A 20,170-nucleotide genomic window follows, 5' to 3' on the forward strand; every position below is an offset into this window, starting at 1 on the left:
AATAGTGTTGATTAAGTTTAGTAATTTTTTTAAAAGCTACTACTATTTGATTTAGGTGATAGTCAATGCAGTATTAAACAGACTAATTGTCTAGATGTATCTGAATACTGAAGCCATTCTCTCTGTGCATACATTTGAGCAGAGCGAGAAAGGCACTGGGTGAAAGAACAGGGAGCAGTGTGGAGCGCCTCTGGCCCTTCAGGCACAGCACGCAGCCCTTGGTTGATGGCCACTCGGCCTGCAGTGGAGTATCTCCTGAGAACCCAAGTTCAAAGAACCAGGCCAACACCCACTCTGCTCTATCCACTTTAGATTCTGTGTGAGTGGCAGGTGGAAGGAGGGGGCAGCCATAGAGGATATCTGAGAGGCACAGTGAGACCCTGGGAGAGTTTGAGAGCCAGGGCTCTCCCCAGGAGGCAGCAGGCTTGAGGCCAGCCACTCAGTGTGGGAAGGAGCAAGGGAAACTGGCCATTTCCCCATCACTGACAGGCTCTATAGGGAGGAGGGTATTCCTATCCTGAGCCCAAAGGCACCAAGATGCTTAACGCCAAAGTGTTTCAGGAAAAATCAATAGCAGCCTTTAGAGAAGGCAAAATGGGGTAAGTGATGGCACCACTTATAATCTTGCCAATAGGATGTGCTGGCATGTGGACCAGCTCTATGGAGTGATAGACAGCTTCTTCCACAGCTCTACTGCTTCTCTTCGTCCTCCATTCTATTCATTTCTACTTCTCCTCCTTCCCACATGCTTAGCTACTCACCACCTCATTCCTCTCCACACCAACTCATCTTTATACCTTTTCAAATATGGCTTTCAGGATTAGTTGTACAGCCTATCTTTGTTCCTGTTTGGGGAGCAGTAGCTATTTCGCTACTTTAGAAATAAGGTTGAAAACAAACATTATCATCAGTTTAGGCACCATCCCAGAGCTGATGACTTTTTCAATCAGGATCCCTTCTCTGAACCACAGAAGACAGAAAATAGAGTGACTATGTTCTCAGTTCTTCAGTGGTGGTTCATAACTTGTCCTGTTCTAGACTAACAGAGAGAAGTTATGTCACTACATGTGAATAATGCCTTAGGGCAGTAGGGCCCCATTTTTTCAGAAACTCCAGTTGAGAAAGAATAAATGTGATGGGTATATTAAAAGGTAAGTGTAATTATTTAGACTTCTCAACATTCCAAGATGCACCAGTGCAGAAGTACATTGTTTGAAGCAAGCTCTAAATGATGATTAGCGCTGACTATGGAGGCAAGCATTATGACAATTGTCATCAATTTCTATTCCGTAATTTTTTATTTAGGCTATTAGCCCTGCACATTTATGAACAAAGTTGAAAGTGGACTTTGAATTAATTAAGTTAAAATTACCTATGATATGCTCTATAGATTACATTCTTCTCCCAGATATGTTCTGAAGAAAATAACCTAGACTATGTAATAAAAGGCAACACTCACGTTTCACTGTCTGCCATATCCAATAACTCGGAAGGTCCTAAATAAGAAGAAAGCAAGATGACCGTCAAAAATAAGCTCAAAAACTAAACATTAACAGAAAATCTATAGTCACAGAATTAAAATGCCTTGGAAAGCTAAATTTGGGGATAGGAATAATAAGACAGAAAGAAAAATAAAAGGATTCCTCTACCTCCTCATCACCAAACTCCCAATCTCCATGAACCAATATGTACAGAATGGTAGATAAAAAAGAATGGTATGGTCTCTGCTGTCAAGCAGCTTTCGATCAAGTTTATGAAATAAAACTGGAATAGAATAACTGAAAAATAATTAAGTGGCTAACAAGGGAGAAAGGGGAAGATTAGGTGGGCTTTAGGAATCAGGGCAATTTCTCATTCTCAAACGAGTTGCTTGGGATGGCGTCTTATGAAGCAAAATATTAAGGCTGTAAGATACTATACGTATCATCTAGGGTACAATTCCAGTTTTTATAAAATTTCCCTTCTCAGACCAGAAAGAAATACTATGCATATACATCAAATGACTATAGATGCATCCTTAGGAATGGAAATATTCTGTGAATTTTCCCTTTCACAATGTTTTGTGTATTCATGAATTAATCCATTCAATCTACAAACACTGCTTGGAATGTCTTCCTTTCTAGCTCTGTACCACTGCTTCTCTCCCTGCCATCTCTTGCCCTCTTCAGCCTATGGGTATCCAATGAGACTTTTTTTCCCCATAAAGCCCTTCATGATCCCACTTCAAGCAGCTTATTAAACACCTGCCTATACAATCCCTCACTTTATGTACTGACCCTATTTCCTATAGTTGAATGGGTAATGGGATTTATCATCCAAGTTGGGACCACCCCAGGCAAGGGGGGATATATGATCATGATACTGATCATGACACGTAACAAACCGTTTTAAAATAACCTACTGATTTATCTCTCCCTATAACTAGACTCCAGAAAACCCCTTAAAGTTTTGGCCCATGCTTTGTCTAGCATTGTGTCATTCCTTGGTGTCTAGTGTAGAGCCTGGAGATAAGTAGATGCTTAAACATTTGATTGAATGGATGAATAAATATGCTTGTAAGTGCCAAACACAGTTCAAGGTACTGAGTATTTTTGTCTTTAGAAAGACGATCCTGGGAATTTGCTCTCTTTATTGGTGGATATCATTATTATTAAAAATTAACTTATTGTGCATAGTAAGAAGGGGTGGAAGAGGTTATCACTCTTACCATGAAAGTCATTGGCCAAGGACAACATAACAGAGATGTTATGGGATTTCATAATTCTCCTGGTCATCCAAATCATCTTGACCTCTTCTCTTTCACACCTGCTATTCACTGGGACCAGGTGAATCTTCTCTTGCAAAGTCTCTCCTATTTGTCTTTTCTGCTTGTCCTATTTGACAAATAGACTTCCTAACCAGTATCTGCCTGGAACATTATTAGCATGCAGAAGTAGTTACCAAGAAAGATAAGAAGGTCTTATATCATCTAGATTTCTAGGTTTCCAATACATCATATCTACTGCTTACTTGCAAGTATTTAAACACTGGAGCTCACAGTCTTTCATCTGGAACTACATTTCCTCAATTTGTTCCCAGGGTTCCATTTTTTTTTTTTTCACAAAAGCTAAAGTGGTAATTGCACACTCAACCACATATTTCTCAGGCTTTCCCAGCTCTCCCTATCCAGAACAGCCACCTATCTAAATCTGACATGTTCTTCAAAGGCTAGTCTGTGACAAGGTCCTCTCAAAAGATGACCTTTGACAGAAGGAATGTATTCTTTCTCTCAGCTCCCAAAGCACTTATTTGGTTCTATCCTCATACTATGTATTTGCTTTTTGAATGCATGCCTTCCATAAATAAATTATTCTATATTTGTTGAATATAAGAACACCTCAGTTATTTTTTGTATCCTTCTAGCACCTACCCTATATTAAGGAAACAACAAAGATTTAACTCATACCTCTTTGTTCCTTGGTCCTGTGATTCTATGAAAACATGAATAATGATCCTTATCCTCCCACACACATACAAAAGTGCAGAGCAGCACAGGACAGTGACCAGGGGCGAGGTTTCTGGAGCTGTCCCTTCTTGGTTAAAAATCCCAGCTCTATATAGACTAGGTCTTGGCCAAGTCTAATTAATCTCTCAGCTCCTTGTTTATCACCCATGTAAAGTCAAATTAATAATAATATTTATCTCACAGGGTTGTTGTGAGAGTTCAAGAGGGCTGGGCATGGTGGCTCACGCCTGTTATCCCAGCACTTTGGGAGGCCAAGGCGGGTGGATCATTTGAGGTCAGGAATTCGAGACCAGCCTGACCAACATGGTGGAACCCCGTCTCTACTAAAAATACAATAATTAGCCCAGCGTGGTGGTGTGTGCCTGTAATCCCATCTACTCAGGAGGCTGAGGCAGGAAAATCGCTTGAATCCAGGAGGCAGAGGTTGCAGTGAGCCAAGATTGTGCTCACTGCCTGGGTGACAGCCTGGGTGACAGAGCAAGACTTCTCAAAAAAAAAAAAAAGAAAGAAAGAAAAGAGTCAATACACATAGTGTGCTTAAAACAGTGCCTGGCACACCACAGGTACTGCTTCAACTTTAGATAGCATGAAGTGTCCTATTCTCTGTCCTGATACAGCAGGTCACACTACATCAAGATATGGGATCATCAGTGAAGGAATGTGGTATGAAAGGGTCACTTTACTCCCACTTACATGTGAAGACACTTGTTGACTCAAATTCTATGTCCTGAGAAACAAGCACCTGAGGCCTATTTAGCTGCCAACAGGGCACTCTTCACGTCAGCAAGGGGCTTAAGTACCCAATGGTCCTCTTAAAGAGTGCCTGTCGCCTTCAGTGAACATTCTAAGCCACTCCTTTTGGAAGAAATTCCATGAACATGAGCAGCCTACACTCATTAGTAGCTCTGTTCCCATTGGTACTGCTAATTGCACAACTATTTAGGCAACAGGGGCCTTGTTTACTTTTCTCCTTCATTCAGCTCTGTCATTCGGTGTTCTCAGAGCCATGCCACGGTGAGTCCACAGTTATCCAGGGTCTAAGCCTCTATGCAAGTGAGGGGATCCTCAAGGCTTTTAATTGAGCTAGCACAGCAATAATTTGACAATATGAAGGTGGGGACAAGGAAGAAAGCTGTTCTTCACAATTTCTGACCAGAGTCACTACCCAGAATTATTCCAGAGCTGATTATCCAGTCTGTGAGTCAGGCATGCCCGCGGCTACCCATCACTCTCCTTCCCTCCACGCCCTTTCATCCTCTGCAGCTGACAGAGGTGAGAGGCAGAGGCACTAATAACAAGGCAAGAAACTTTTGCTCATAATTAATATCTAAAAAAAAAATGCCCATTAAAAGGTTTGGGGAATGGCTCTGAAATAATCAATTTAATTAACTTCAACTTTCCTTATTCTCCCATCAACATAGATAATCACAAAATAGCAGAATGTTCTGAACACTGGCCAAGAAGAGGCAAAAGTAGCAGCCAGCTGACTACAGATGGGAATGGGCAGCTATTTTTAAAAGCACAGGTACATTTTCTAATCATTTTTGGCCTGCTTTAGGATAACTGTTTGCATAATGCTAGCAAGGAAGGAGTTACAGAGAGTGGATGCCAGGAGAAGCCTAAGACAAGGCTGTTCTTCTCCTTATTTGAACCTGCACTGCCCAATGGGGAGCTATGCTTTAACTGTACAATGTGGAGTTTAACTGTACCCTGTGACTTTTAGTGTAGAAACAATAACACCTGTGATTTTTGAAAAGTTAATTTGAGTCTCACTAATAAAGGAAACGAGACAAAAGGAGAAAAACAAGAGAGAAAAAAATAAAGACTAGTCAGGCACGGTGGTTCACGTCTGTAATCCCAGCACTTTGGGACAGCCAGGTGGGAGGACTGTTTGAGCCCAGGAATTCAAGAGCAGCCTGGGTAACATAGCAAGACCCCAACTCTACAAAAAAAAAAAAATTAGCTGGGCGTGGTGGTACATGCCTGTAGTCCCAGCTACTAGGGAGGCTAAGGAGGGAAGATTGCTTGAGCCCAGGAGATCAAAGTTACAGTGAGCCATGACTGCACTCTAGCCTGGGTGACAGAGTGAGATTCTGTCTCAAAAAAATAAAAATAAAGATAATTGAATTCCTTCAACATATATGAATGGGTAACATTTGAGTTTGGGGCTTGTTTTATATACACATACGTTCTGATTGCAGACACTATGCCATCTCCCCTAAGGAATTTCGAGGGAGATCATCAAATTGTCAGCAGAGAATTCACTGTTGTTTCCTCAATAGAAAAGGAAATCTCAGGTCTCTGTCTCTTCCAGGGTTTACTGAAATGTCCACCCTTCATCCTTTGGCTGACCTGAACCAGAAAAAATACTATAAAATCCCTATTGAGGAGATATGGGTGCAGATTTCTCCATGAAAATTTCAGATGAAAACGGCCTCTGCTCTTCCAGAACCCTAGATCAGTTGTCATTTGAACTCTGCTTACGACATTCACGTGGTGCCACCCTGCATTGTGGTTATTTATCCATGTTTCATTTCCCTTGCTGGTATTAGGAATATGGAGGACACAGACCATCTCTCACGTATGGATGAGTTTTGGCAAGGAACCTAACTTCACCATACTTCAGTTTTCAACACCTGTCAAACGGAGATGAGAGCTTACTGTATAGGGTTGTAAAAATTAAATATGATAATGCATTTAGAACATTTAGAACAAAGAGGTTAGCAGTGATTGTTACAGAAACTTTTTTTTCCTCAAAAGTGCCTGGGACGGAATTAAAATGTTTTAATGAATGAATGAATAAACGACATTTTAAAGCCATTTTGGATCCCAGCCAATATCACTTTAAGAGAAAGATTCACAATTGAAATATGGATTCAAAAGACTGTGCTATATGGGAAATGGTCTGAAAGCTAAGGGAAAGAAAATTCTGTTAAGTGGACATACACATCAGTATTCAGGAGACACCCAGGGAATGCGAAAGGAAGCAAAACTTCACAAATCTTTCAAAATGAGAAAGTGAACATCGTGTTAAGCAGCCAGGCCTTCCAAATTACAATGTTGCTGCCCAGTACTCATTCCATAGGCTCTTCTGTTGGATACCCCAGCTCCCGCTGATGTGACTTTGTCATCAATATTATATTTGTATTATATATGACGTGCCTTTTGTCACATGCATCCTTTAATTTGCTTCCCACACCAATGCCTCCAAATCCCCTTTGCTATTCCTTCCACTTCCCATGGCCTCTCTCTGGGCCCTCATTTCCCATTAGTCTCCCTGACGCTGCCAGCAGACCATTCCAAATCCTCCCCTGCCACAGGACAAAAGCTGCACAGATGTGGGGAGAGCTGGCACTGGGAATGCTAACAGTACTGTCATCCTGTCCCAGCAGGATGGTGGTCAGTTCTCTCTGGGACCAGAGGCAGAAAAAGGGGGGTTAAAAAAAGAGAAAAGAAAGACTGAAGACAGAAAAAGAGGGAAGACAAAATAACCCATTGAAATCAAAAAGGAAATGCATGAGTGAGATTTCTATCAGGAAAACCAGTAGGAGGCAATGGGGTAGGCGTGGGGAGAATAAAAACAAAAGAGCAGAGTGTGCAGGGTGGCGAAGGAAAGAAACAACACAAAAGTCCCTTGGAGGGTTGGAGGGGCAAACGAGGGGGGAGGGAGCGGGCAGAAAATATGGTTGAAAGGAGCTGAAAAGCGGGAAGCACTGAGAGGAATCTCAGCTGGAATCCCTGCATCCTTAGTCTCTCTCCCAGTCTCTGTGGAATTATTAACTCTTCCTCCCCGAGTCTCTTTTCAACTCTCTAAATGTCCAAATTCCAGTTTTTCATAAAGGAAAGCAGCATGCTGTATAGATGAGAGAAGACATCCAAAGGAAGAAGATGCAAGCCGAAAAAAATTCAAGCCTCCCATGGCGCTTTCAGAACATACCGCAGATCTCATGTGGCACAGCCCCCAGCCTGCTTTAAAAGAGCCCATAGAAGAGAAATCAGTTGCTGCTTGTTGTGTCTGGGAGAATAACTAATCTCAGGACTCTTGTTCAGGTGTCCTCTTGATGGTGGCGGCCCACACTCCTGACCAGAGCCAATGAAGAAGAGGGCAGAGCAGAGGGGAGAGGGGCTCAGGAGTAAGGCTGCAGGAAGCAAAGGAAGTGTCAACTCAAGAGCCACAAACAACATCAGCTGTGCACCTGGCAAAGAGCCTGTGAATCCTTCAGAATTGCTATTACTAAAGGCATCCTTACAGTCAAGTCTTTGAACAATTTTTCAGATTTATGTCATATGAAACCATGGGACAGACATAAACCAAATTGTAAAAAATAAGTAAATAAACAACAAAGGCTTTAAGAGATTTGCAATATTCAATAACCAGGAGGAATGTCTTTCTTGATCTTCGGCATAGTGTAAAATTTTTATTTGTTATTTTTTTTTTCATTTACATGAATTCAAACTGATCAGACTTACCTACTGCAAATCTGATGCTAATTTAAAAATACAATGCCATAGTCTGGTATACATCCCTAAATCCCAGACTTACTGAGGCCTCTTGGAAAGGCTGATTTCTTTGTCAGGTCAGGATATTCCAGAGTTATCATCATTACTAAGTTAGGAGAGAGTATTTCAATCAAGAGAGATCACCTTAAGAAGGTGATTACAGTATTGAAAAAGGGTAATGTTTTCTGTGTACTTGTCTCTGACTTCAAGAACACTATAATTTAAAGGAGTTTCTATCATCTAAAAGAGAGGAATGGTTTTGCTATGATAGTTTTCAATAAAATGCAAAGGTTAATATAAACTGAATCAGCAACTAAAGATATTAAAAAACAAAACGACAGTTGAGCTGAAGTGTTTAGCTCTTGTGGAATGAGGTGAATTAGGCTATATCAAATGATTTTACATCCGTATTTCTGAATAAATAAAAAAGATAAGATAGACATCAAAAATGAAATTGACAATGTCTATCAATGTTGATAAAAACTAATTTCAGTAAGAATCAATTGCATTTAAGTCTCCATATTCAGCTATAGTAGTAAAGTGTTAAAAATTGCCATCCATCAAAAATGCGGTGATCCTTGGACTGAACATCATAATAACATTTTCTTTACAAACAAAAGAGATGGATTGTGCTCTCCCATCTCCACAGTCTTTCTTCCTGTGCTATTAGAGATCCTGGTGAGGCAGGAAAGGTATAGGATGCCTTCTGAGACCTCAGAAATTGTTTGCCTGGAAGTGAAGTTAGGATGATTACTGTGAACATTGTGTTTCTTCTCGTGAGCATAAATATTAAGCTGATTAATTTATAACATCTAACCAAAGCACTGGAAAAATAAGCACCCCCACCCCCCTAAAAAAGACTGAATTCCTTTGTGTCCTTCCATTTGGGCGGAGTGGTATTGTGTGACTCAGTCTTGCAAGAGTCAATGCGGGGTGATGAGAAACTGATTTGTATTGGAATGTTAGGTTTTGATCAAGGCCCTCAGAGACTAATGTGCCAGATGAATTGATGCCAGGCAAAGTAGGTGTGTACTGATCTATATTTGGGGTTAGAAACTCCAAGGCCTGTGAGCTTGGATGAACGGTGCTTTTAAAGGCCCTATTTTTGGACGCAGGGGAAGAGAGGAAGTAGAGAAAGTGAAAAGCTACTGTGTTAAGGTGATATCATCCCAGGACTCATCATTCATGTCCCTGGGGCACAGGACTCATCATTCATGTCCCTGGGGCAACTCAGATGAGGAGTTCTGCTGTTTTCATTTTTAGTATAATCATATTTCAAATATTGCATGGGCTATACTTATGTTAAAACCTTCATTATTGTTATCATTTTTTTTTCTTCAAGAGACAGAGTCTGGCTCAGCTGCCCAGGCTGGAGTGCAGTGGTGCAATTCTAGCTCACTCAGCTTACACCTCCTGGGCTCAAGCAATCCTTCTGCCTCAGCCTCAAGTAGCTGGGACTATGGGCCCACCATGCCCGGCCATCTTGTATTTTTATTTGTGAAACTGGGGTTCTTAAGACCCAGAACCAAAGTCAAATAGAAAAACGAAGCTCTAAGGGATTCCAGGTGAGTCAGAAGTTTAGGACATTGTTCACTTTAAACTGCAGAGACCGGGACATAAGGGAGTGTGGTAGATTAAATATCTCCATGAATTTTTCACAGCTCATGCCATCAAACAGTGGAATCTGTTTCCCAACCTTTTAAATCTGGGCTGGCCCTGTGACTTGTTTTAGCCAATAGAATGCAGTAGAGATCATCCAGAACTTCCCAGCTTAGCTTCAGGACATCTGGGAGCTTCCACTCTCACCCCTGGGAACCCCAGCACTACCATGCTGTGAAGGATCTTGGGAAAAAAAGACGAGGTGTTGAGAAAGGCTTAGGTGTCCTGGCCTTCCACAGCCCTCCCAGCTGAAAGCCCCAAACATGTGAGAGTCCATCTTCAACAAAGCCTCATCAAAAAAAGGAGCTGACTGCAGCCTCCTAAATGAGACCAAGTGAGACGGTGGATACAGAGAGGATCCTAGGACTAGGGGAGGAAATACTGCTTCTCCAGGAAAGGTGAAAAGATGGGTGGGGGGGTGTGGAGAGAGAGATTCCTGGATTGTGTTGTCACTCAAATAGATGGCCAGTGTCTCACCTAACTCCAGAGAGAGGGTAGGTGGGCACCAAATGGCTTAAGGTATCCAAGCAAGCATTCAATCTCTTGGGTAAAGGGTAAACTAAAGAGAGTAGATTGGAAGTGATCAAGAAGACAGCAAATAGGAGAATTTTAAACCTGAGCTAAACAAAAATAAAGTGACAGTATACATCTAACCCTCACCTGAGCTTTGTGCAGTAGAAATCCTGAGATATTAGTGTGGCTTCACTCTTGCCCAGAAAGGAACGCTTTTAACTGCAAGAGACTGAATAGCCAGGGAAATAGGAGATGGAATGATACAAGCCCCAGACTTAGCACCAAAAATACATCCTATCTACCTAGGCTTTCCAGGGCAGACAGGTTTGGGATTATCCAACCCAGCCTACAAGGAGTAAAGAAATGCTGTCATCGCAGCCCTCCTGTTTTCATGGTCTTTCCTTTTTCTAACCCACCCTTTCTACCGTATTTCAGACCAAGGGTTCAAGCAGAATCTTCACAGTGAGAAGGTGTTGAAGACAAAGCAAGGGGTGTCTAACGTGATTGATAGTTTAGTACCTACCTTGCAAGGACCTTGTCAAATGACGGGATGTGTTTACTATAAACAATTGGCAAATATGTGCTTGATAAATGGTAGCTATGTTATCTATCTGTGGCTTTACCATAGGACTTAAAACAGCTCCATATATCGGTTTTAAATTTAATTATACACATGATCTTATTTTTTTCTTTAGCCTGCAATTGCTTGAAAACAGTGACTGTATTTTATTTTTGTCTGTGTACCATCTATAACAGGCAGCTCCTGTTAGGCACTACACAAATATTTGTTAAATGAATGAATCAATGAATGGAATAAGACATACTTGCTGAATTGCAAAAAAAAAAAAAAAAAAGGAGCAAAAAGGATGTGAATGTTTATGAGTATGCTTACTATCTACAGGCTGAATTTGGGTACAAAAGGAGTCAGCCACAGGCTGACTGTCAGGGCTCAAAGAAACTTTTCCAATCTCTCTGTATACCAAGATCCAGCAGAATTAGACTCTTTCATTCCTTCTCATTTAAAACAGACTAGCTAGGCAGTATTTTTCCCCTTTATTCCTGTTCTTTATTCCTAGAAATACTACAAAACATGATAAATTCAATGTAACAGTTTAGATTTGGTATTCATTAAATATGTTTATGCTTCCAAAGGGTTTTTAGAGGCAGATGCTATAGCGCATGCTACTTCCTGCAAACGATCTGGCACCAACTATTAGAAATCCAGTTAGAAAGCAGTCTGGAAGGTTAGTATGATCTGCCACAGACAACACAATAGTACCAGACATTTTCAAAGAGAATAAAGCGTAACTTGGGTGGAAAAGATAAATGAGATCAAACAGAAAAAAAAATGAGAAACTGGAAAGATGCAAAACAATTATCCTCATGAATCTTCACAACGATGAACCGCAAATACAGGTGAGGTAGGGAATCCCAACCCATTAATTTACAGAAGAGCTCTAGAAAAAAATAAAGCACACGATGCCAGGCTGCATTTATTTTTGTCCTCTATTTAAAAAAAAAAACTAATTAGTCTGAAAAATAGCCTGTAAAGAGCTTGGTATGAACACTGTTTCTACTAATTGCTTGGATAGGATGGCCCGTATGTGTCAGTGGTCTGCAACCACGACTGCCTCAAATAAGCAGGGGCAGAGTCTGCTAAAAGTTCGAGAGTATTTCTGCCATTCTGAAAACTGCCTGGATGAAGGGTAACTTAGAAAATGCAAAATGCAATGGATTTCACAGGTAAGTGATCCTTGGTAAGTTCACTATGCCTACTTACCGTGGTCAAGGATATATTTCACAATCTCCCCGTTGCCGGTTTTAGCTGCGTAGTGAAGGAGTGAACAGTGGTCTGGTCCCTGAATTAGCAGACTGCCTCCATTTTTATAGCTTTCTATTAGCTGCAAAGAGAGACATACAAAAAGAAGCTCAGGCAGAATTCGGAACAAGGATAACAGCTAACCGGTAATAAAATGAGAGTCATGTAGCAGACCACAATGTTTCCAGCCTTAGAGGACATAGAGAAAAGTCAAAAAGGTGAAGTAACATTCCTGGACTGTGTTATCACTCACAGAGATGACCAGTGTCTCTTCTAACTCTGGAGAGAGTCTGTGGGTATTGAACAGGCTAGGGAAACTGAATCATGCTGAATTACTTTTTTCATTTATTTTCTGAGCACTGGTCTCTATGGTCTCTCTCTCGAAGGAGTAGTGAGGGGTGGAGTGGAGAACAAAAGCATCTCTATGTTGGCTTAGCATTCTCCTGAGTGAAAGAGTAATTATGGCTATAAGCAGAAATAGCTTGGTGACTGTAGCTAAGCTTCTTGCCTGTGTCCTTCAGTTTTTCTTCAGTCTTATGAACCTATATACCAAATATCAAAGCTGCTTCTTTTTCTCCCATGTAAGATCACTGAATACAAGTATAGACACATACACACGCATGCATGCATGCACACACACGAACACACATCTGGCTTCCTTCTTCATCCAGATATGCAGCCCAGCCTGCAAACCTTCTGTTAATCATCCAACACATACCTAATAGGCTAGAGATAATCCACAGAGTGAGACCCAAAATGATTCAGAAAATGTAGTAGTTTCTATATGAGAGAAGACTGGAAAAAAAAAACAAAACAGAATTTTGTAGCCTGAGGATAAGGTGGCTACATGAGGATATGGTCTAAGTTTATAAAATATTGAACATTACAGAAAATGTGAATGAGTCCCTCATCTCCAAACTACAGTATTTCATGACAAGAGTGCCTGCATGAAGCTTCTAACAGGTAATTTTAGGACAAATGAGAATTAAATAACCCAGCAGGTAATAAGCAAAAGGAACACATTATCTCTCAAGAAGTTAGATGGCACACATTATAGATAATCAAACATCCCATAAGGTGAAAGAGCATAAATGACCTAAATGCAAAGAATAAGTCCTAGTGTTCCATACCATTGTAGGATGACTATAGTTAATAATATATTAAATAGTTTTAAATAGCTAGAAGGAGGATGTTGAACATTCCCAACATAAAGAAATGATAAATGTGTGAGGTGGTGGATATGCTAATTACCCTGATCTGATCACTGTATACGTATCAAAACATCACTATGTACTCTATTAATATGTATAATCATTTGTCAATTAAAAATACTTTCTTAAAAAAAGAACCTAAATTCAGAGTTCACGTCTTCACTCAAATACATCCATAGAATTGTCATGTGCTAGATGCCAGGAAGATAAATGTGAATACAATTCAGTCACTGTGCTCAAAGCCCTCACAGCCCATGGTGGAGACGGATAGGTAAAGAATCACACAGTAATGGACAGGAACATCACAAAGGTCTCAGAGAAGCACTAGGGAAGCATGAAGCAGGGGATGGAAACAGCCACGGAAGACCTCCCAGGACATGGATCCAAAGCAGTAGCTGAATGGAGGTAAGGACAATGGAGGTAAGGAACATCCCTAAACTGGGGGGCAAGAGGGCAGGAAGAAGTAGCTAGCAATTTTCCACAAAACTCTAAAAGGATATCCTGTTCCATTCAACTGCGTTGTCTTAAAATGACACTCCCTTTCTTTGTGGGGAGATCGACAAAGGATAGCAGCATGGGACCTGTTCAGGGTCAACTGCCTTGATCCTGCCTTCCTGTGCTGTTTCTAGACACCATGAACATTCAGTTAGTCCACGGACACTTTCTGCAGCCCAGTTGTCCAGGAGCTATTTGTGACAGCCTTCACACAGGGGTGGCTCCAGAGATGTTCTCTTCGCTAGTCTCTATCTCTCGCTCTCTTTGTCTCTCTCTCTCTCTCTCTTTCTCTCCCTCTCTCTCATACAAACATATACACATGTATCCCATTTAATATTTTATATATATTGCACTTTCTGCTCAGAAGAAAGAAACAAAAGATATTGGAGAAGAGGAAGAGGGCATGAATATTTGAGAAGGAAAATAAGAAAATATGTAAGAGAGAAAAAGTAAAACCTTAAGCCCTCAGTAAATATTCCATCTCTCAGTAAATAAGGTGTTATTGGCCAGGTGCGGTGGCTCACATCTGTAATCCCAGTACTTCAGGAGGCCAAGGCAAGCGGATCACAAGGTCAGGAGATCGAGATCATCCTGGCTAACACGGTGAAACCCCGTCTCAAGTAAAAATACAAAAAATTAGCTGGGTGTGGTGGCAGGCACCTGTAGTCCCAGCTACTAGGGAGGCTAAGGCAGGAGAATGGCGTGAACCCGGGAGGCGGAGCTTGCAGTGAGCCGAGATCGTGCCACTGCACTCCAGCCTGGGTGACAGAGCGAGACTCCATCTCCAAAAACAAAAACAAAATAAGGTGTTATTAAGTCATGTTTTAGTCATTTAGGAAAGAATTATAACAGAGAATGCATTAGGTTGGTGCAAAAATGATTGCAGGTTTTGTCACTGAAATGACAAAAACCAAATTACTTTTGCACCAACCTATAATAAGACAACCAGCTGGATATAGTGATTTCCCACATTGCAAATGATTCTTTATTTAAAAGTACAAAAAAAAGTGTGATAATAAACTCAGGATCTTGGGAAATCAGTTGCCTGAACTAAAAGCATATAGAAAATAAAATGGAAGGGTTTCAAATGTACAGTGCTTTGCAAAATTTTCTGGTGTAGAAATCCACCAAGGGCAGGAATCAATTTTATTCATGCCTTTGTTTCCCACAAAACCTAATGGAAGGCCTTGCACAGAGTACAGGATGGTATGGGCTTAATCCACTGGTAAGAAACGGCACTGAACTCATCAATATACTGCTTGGAGAGCACTCTTCTCTTCTGGGTAACAATTTCTATTGACACTATGATCTGGGCAGTGGCACAGGCACCGTTTTCAGGATTATGTGCCTAAAGGGGGCAGTTGATCAAGATGTTTGCAAACATTTTCACCATTTGTTTTCCTCTAGTAACCTGTTGAAAAATGCAGCACAGGTGTCCTTCAGTTTGTCCAACAGATGCGCCTAAAAAAAGTTATGTCTGAGGGTAGGACTGTTCAGCTTTCTCTTAGGGCTATTGGTTCCTTGATCTGCAATGGCACCTCACTCCACAGGCTGAGGAGTCAGGCGTAGCCTCTGCCTTCAGGCAGCTGTCATTAATACAGAGCAGATCAGTTCCAGCAGGGGGTTTGCAGGGGCATATGGGCAGTCATCAGCCTGATGCCTGAAAACCAAATATAGCTTTAGAATATTCATAGATGATGTTATATTATATAACAAATATTTGTATTTCCACCATGTTTAGCTATTAAAAAACACAGATCTACACTATCAGAATATTAATAAAATAGCTAACATTTTAGAGCCCCTTCCATGAAATAGGAACAGTCTTGAGAGCTTTATATGTATTATTACATTAATTCCTCATGACAAGCCAAAGAGAGAGGTAATATTACTCCATTTTACTGATGAAAAAACTAAGGCACAGAGAGAATCAAATAATTACACAAAATCACACAGACAGTGAATGGTAGAGCCGAGATCCAAACTTAGAAAGTCTGACTTCAGATTTTACATTCACCCTCAGGGCAGTGGTGACCGCTTCCTTCCTTCTGAACAAAACTCACCAGAAAACACAAACACAAATTAAACTATTCCAAGGGGATCAGGGTTCTTGTTTGACTAACTATGAGAGTCCTTGTTTGACTAACTATGATCCCCAAAGTATAAAACCACGACAAGGAAAGATTAATCTCTGGCCTGAAGGATGCATTTCTGAGTGTTGCCCAGGTAATTCTTACAGATACATTCATTTCAATACCTGCCTGAAAGGAAATCTTTAAATTCTTCAAATGTCAGCTTCTAGAGGGCAGGCACACTGTGCACATTGCATCCTGGGGACATGCAGTTCATTTTAAGTAACTGAGACAAGTACCCCGGTGCTCTTGAACACCATCTCTGCTCAGTTCTCAAAAGAACATCCTGCCTCTTCTACCCAGCCAGTGCAAGCAGGGGATGATAAATGATAGATGGGAACATAGAGTTTTGATGAGGAATGATGTTGATTTAAAGTTCTTAAAGCATCGCCAAAGATTTGGTAGGAAGATATCTTACCTTCATAAGATCACCAGCTATTACTGCCTGCAAAATTGCTGTGAAAGACAAAAGAGAGATGTCCCATTAGTAGAAGACCCTCTTATTAAAATATTACACAAAGTTGGATCCATATTTTGGATAAGTAGTCTACATTTGGGGCAGGAATCAGGGAAGGAAAATATCTTGGTGAAGCAGACCGAGGCCCCCTCTTTAACCCTTCCCCACCCAGGTACCCATTCCACGCACCCTTCTAGGGCCCATGCGTGCCCCCTCCAGCCTTGGTACAGTAAATATTTTAAAAACTGGAGTCACGCAAATTGGGTTCAAATCTCAACTCTGATACTTTAAGCAGTAGGACACTGGGCAAATCATTTAACCCCTCTGAGCCTCAGTTTCCACATTTGTAAAAGAGCAGGTTGTAACTTAGTAGGGTTCATGAAGTCCTATGAATGTTCCTAACCCAGCCACAGATGCGGAGTAACTGCCTAATCATGATTGCACTTGCTTCCTTCTTTCTAGTTCCTTCTACTTTGCCCTCTTGGGATTTAAGCAATCACCAGTCTTTTTGTGTGTTTTGTGATGATAGATAAATACCTATTGCTATGAATATTAAGAGGACTGGAGACAGCAAAGAGGAATCAAGTCTATTTTAATTGTGTGCTTGAGAAAACAACCACGTGTTTGGCATTTAATTTATTGATGATTCTTATGGAAAAAAAAGCCTAGAGGTAATAGGTAACTTAAACTACTTTTAGGAATACGTAGCCTTAGGGAAAAAAAAATATACGTGTCTAATGATTCATGCACCTTATGTGGGGTGTAGAAGAGGAATGAGAGGCTAGGCATGGTGGCTCATGCCTGTAATCCCAGTACTTTGGGAAGCCAAGGTGGGTGGATCATTTGAGGTCAGGAGTTCAAGACCAGCTTGGCCAACATGGTGAGACCCCGTCTCTACCAAAAATACAGAAATTAGCCAGAGTGGTGGCACACCTGTAATCCCAGCTACTCGGGAGGCTGAGGCAGGAGAATTGCTTGAATTCGAGAGGTGGAGTTGCAGTGAGCGGAGATCGCGCCACTGCCCTCCTGCCCAGGCGACAGAGTGAGACTCCATCTCAAAAAAAAAAAAAAAAAAAAAATTCATTTTTATTTTAGATTCAGGGGATGCATGTGCAGGTTTGTTACAAGGATATATTGCATGACGCTGAGGTTTGAGCTTCTATTGATCCTGTCACCCAGACAGTGAACATAGTACTCAACAAGAGGTTTTTCAGCCTTTGTCCCCCTCCCTGTCTCCTTCTAGAGTTCCCAGTGTCTATTGTTCCCATCTTTGTGTCCATGAGTACCCAAGATTTAGCTCCCACTTACAAGTAAGAAGATGCAATATTTGGTTTTCTGTTTCTGCATTAATTCACTTAGGATAATGGTCTTCAGCTGCACCCATGTTGTTACAAAGGACATGATTTCATTCTTTTTTATGACTGTGTAGTATTCCATGGTGTATATATACCACATTTTCTTTATCTGCTCCACTGCTGATAGGCACCTATGTTGATTCCAGGTCTTTACTATTGTAAATAGTACTAAGATGAACAGTGAGTACATATGTGTTTTTGGTAGGATGATTACTTTTCCTTTATGTATATGCCCAGTAATGGGATTGCTGGGTCGAATGGTAGTTCTGCTTTAAGTTCTTTGAGAAATCTCCAAACTGCTTTCCACAGTGGCTAAACTAATTTAAATTTCTAACAACAGTGTATAAGCATTCCCTTTTCCCCACAGCCTCACCAACATCTGTTATTTTTTGGCTTTCAAAAAATAGATTTTAAGGCTTTAAAGTCACAAAGTTTTAGAAGAAAAATAATTTAAATGTATTTTGCAAAGTGATATTTTATTCCTATTTGAGTAGTCTCTCATACAGAGTTAGCCAAAAGTGCTGTATCATGCATTAAATTACATAGAGTCCCCAGCTGTCACTGAGCAAAACCCCCAAAGCTTTTATATTGAGTATGTATGAGTCCTGGGTGAGCAGATGCAAAGGACCATAAGAATGTTAAACTTACTCACTGCCCCTGGGCTGAGTGCCTTCCCTTTGACCAACGCTGAAGCCTTGGAAATTTATAGAAATGATGAGGGCTACTTGAACATCAGAGGAAAAAGAAGGTAGGAAGAAGAGAAGAATGGAGAAAAATGGAGAGAAGAAAAGTGCCTCGCCATAACAAGCTATAAGCAGCATCCTCTTTGCATTCCCCTGTGAACCCTAGCATAATGCTTTGCACATTGTAGGTGCACACCAATTAATTGTTGAACTGACTGAAAAGAAAACAGAAAAAGAGAAGAAAAGAGAGATGAAAATAAGAGAAAGGGAATTAACAAAGTGTTATGTGTAAAAAAAAAAAAAAAACCCTATGAAAACACAGGGTCTCACTCTTCCTTTTATAAATGTCCATAGTGGAGTTTAAAGTAACTTAATTCTCTGGAGGTATAGAGGCCCAAATCAGCACCATAATACAGACCCTGTGTGAGCCTGTGTCCAGTGCCCCCATTGAGTTCATCATGCACAGAACTCTACTAGGCTCTGCAAGGCCTACAGACAGTGAAAAAAACACTGTTGTCAGGTTTGTAATGTGAACAATGCTCTCAACTGGAGTCTAATTCTAATCGCTACAATTTATTGGACACATAAATTTTGGAAGTTATTCAATCGTTTTGAACCAATTCTCCATTTGCAAATGAGGTTAACAGCTGCACTGCTCACCTCTCGGTAGTTAGGATAAAATTTTTAAAGTGTTTTATAAATAGGTATGTTATATAAACAGAAGGCACAGTTTTCAGTATTTTGTGACTGCACATAAGTACATGAAAAAGACATATGGACCTTCAGAAGGAGCCTACCAATAAGGGTAAAATTGGCATGTGAAGCTGGGCAGACATATCTCTGTTAATATAGAACCCATCGGATTAGAAGCACAGATAATGAGCCAAGGATGTGGTGTTTATCAAAAACCCTGCGTTGAAGGACAAGGAAGGAGAGGCTGGGGAAAGTAAAGCCAGCCCTCCGTATCTGCAGGTTCCAAATCTGCAGATTCAACCAACCTCACATCGAAAACATTCAAAAAATAATAATAATGATACAACAGTAAAAATTACAATAAATTTTAAAAATACAGTATAACAACTATTTATATAGCATTTGCATTAGATTAGGTATTATAAGTAATCTAAAGACGACTTGAAGTGTACGGGAGGATGTGCAAAGGCTATATGCAAATACTGAGCTATTTTAGATCAGGGACTTGAACATCTGTAGATTTTGGTATCTGCAAGGGGTCCTGGAACTAATCCCCCACAGATACTGAGTAACAGCTGTATTAGCAATCACAGGTCCAAGAGAACAAATCAGTTTGGACTTTAATACTATAGGATGTTCTCCTGACTGAAGCAGAATGTCTCTAATAGGAGAGAAAGAAGGTTAGGAAAGTTGCATGAGGGAGCAGTTAATGCAAAGCCTTGTAACACACACAGAAGTTCAAAACATAGCCTATGTTCTCAGCCAGGCATGGTGGCTCACATCTGTAATCCCAGCACTTCAGGAGGCCAAGGCAGGTGGATCACGAGGTCAGGAGTTCAAGACCAGCCTGGCCAAGATGGTGAAACCCTGTCTCTACTAAAAATAAAAAAATATAAAAAATTGGCCAGGTGTGGTGGTGGGCGCCCGTAATCCCAGCTACTCAGGAGGCTGAGGCAGAGAACTGCTTGAACCCTTGGGAGGCAGAGGTTGCAGTGAGCCGAGATCATGCCACTGCACTCCAGCCTGAGCGACAGAGTGAGACTCTGTCTCAAAACCAACCAACAAACAAAAAAAACAACAACAAAATAGCCTATGTTCTCAAGACTGTATTGAAACATTTCTCAGAATTTAAAAGTTAATAAAAAGAG

The 20,170-nt window shown here is 40.8% G+C and overlaps 1 protein-coding gene across 8 annotated transcripts in view; it reads right to left on the bottom strand.

Annotated features, from left to right (window-relative positions):
• DGKI (diacylglycerol kinase iota) overlaps positions 1–20,170 on the bottom strand; it is a 465,938-nt gene that overhangs the window by 14,881 nt on the left and 430,887 nt on the right. For all 8 annotated transcript variants that reach the window (XM_047421022.1, NM_001321708.2, XM_047421021.1 and 5 more), the window contains 3 exons: positions 16,253–16,290; positions 11,958–12,078; positions 1,460–1,496 (listed from right to left, as the gene is read on the bottom strand). In XM_047421022.1, the coding sequence (XP_047276978.1) occupies positions 1,460–1,496; positions 11,958–12,078; positions 16,253–16,290 (196 nt within the window). The remainder of the gene's footprint in view (positions 1–1,459; positions 1,497–11,957; positions 12,079–16,252; positions 16,291–20,170) is intronic.

Source organism: Homo sapiens, chromosome 7 (genome assembly GCF_000001405.40).
Source record: "Homo sapiens chromosome 7, GRCh38.p14 Primary Assembly".
NCBI classification, from domain to species: Eukaryota; Metazoa; Chordata; class Mammalia; order Primates; family Hominidae; genus Homo; species Homo sapiens.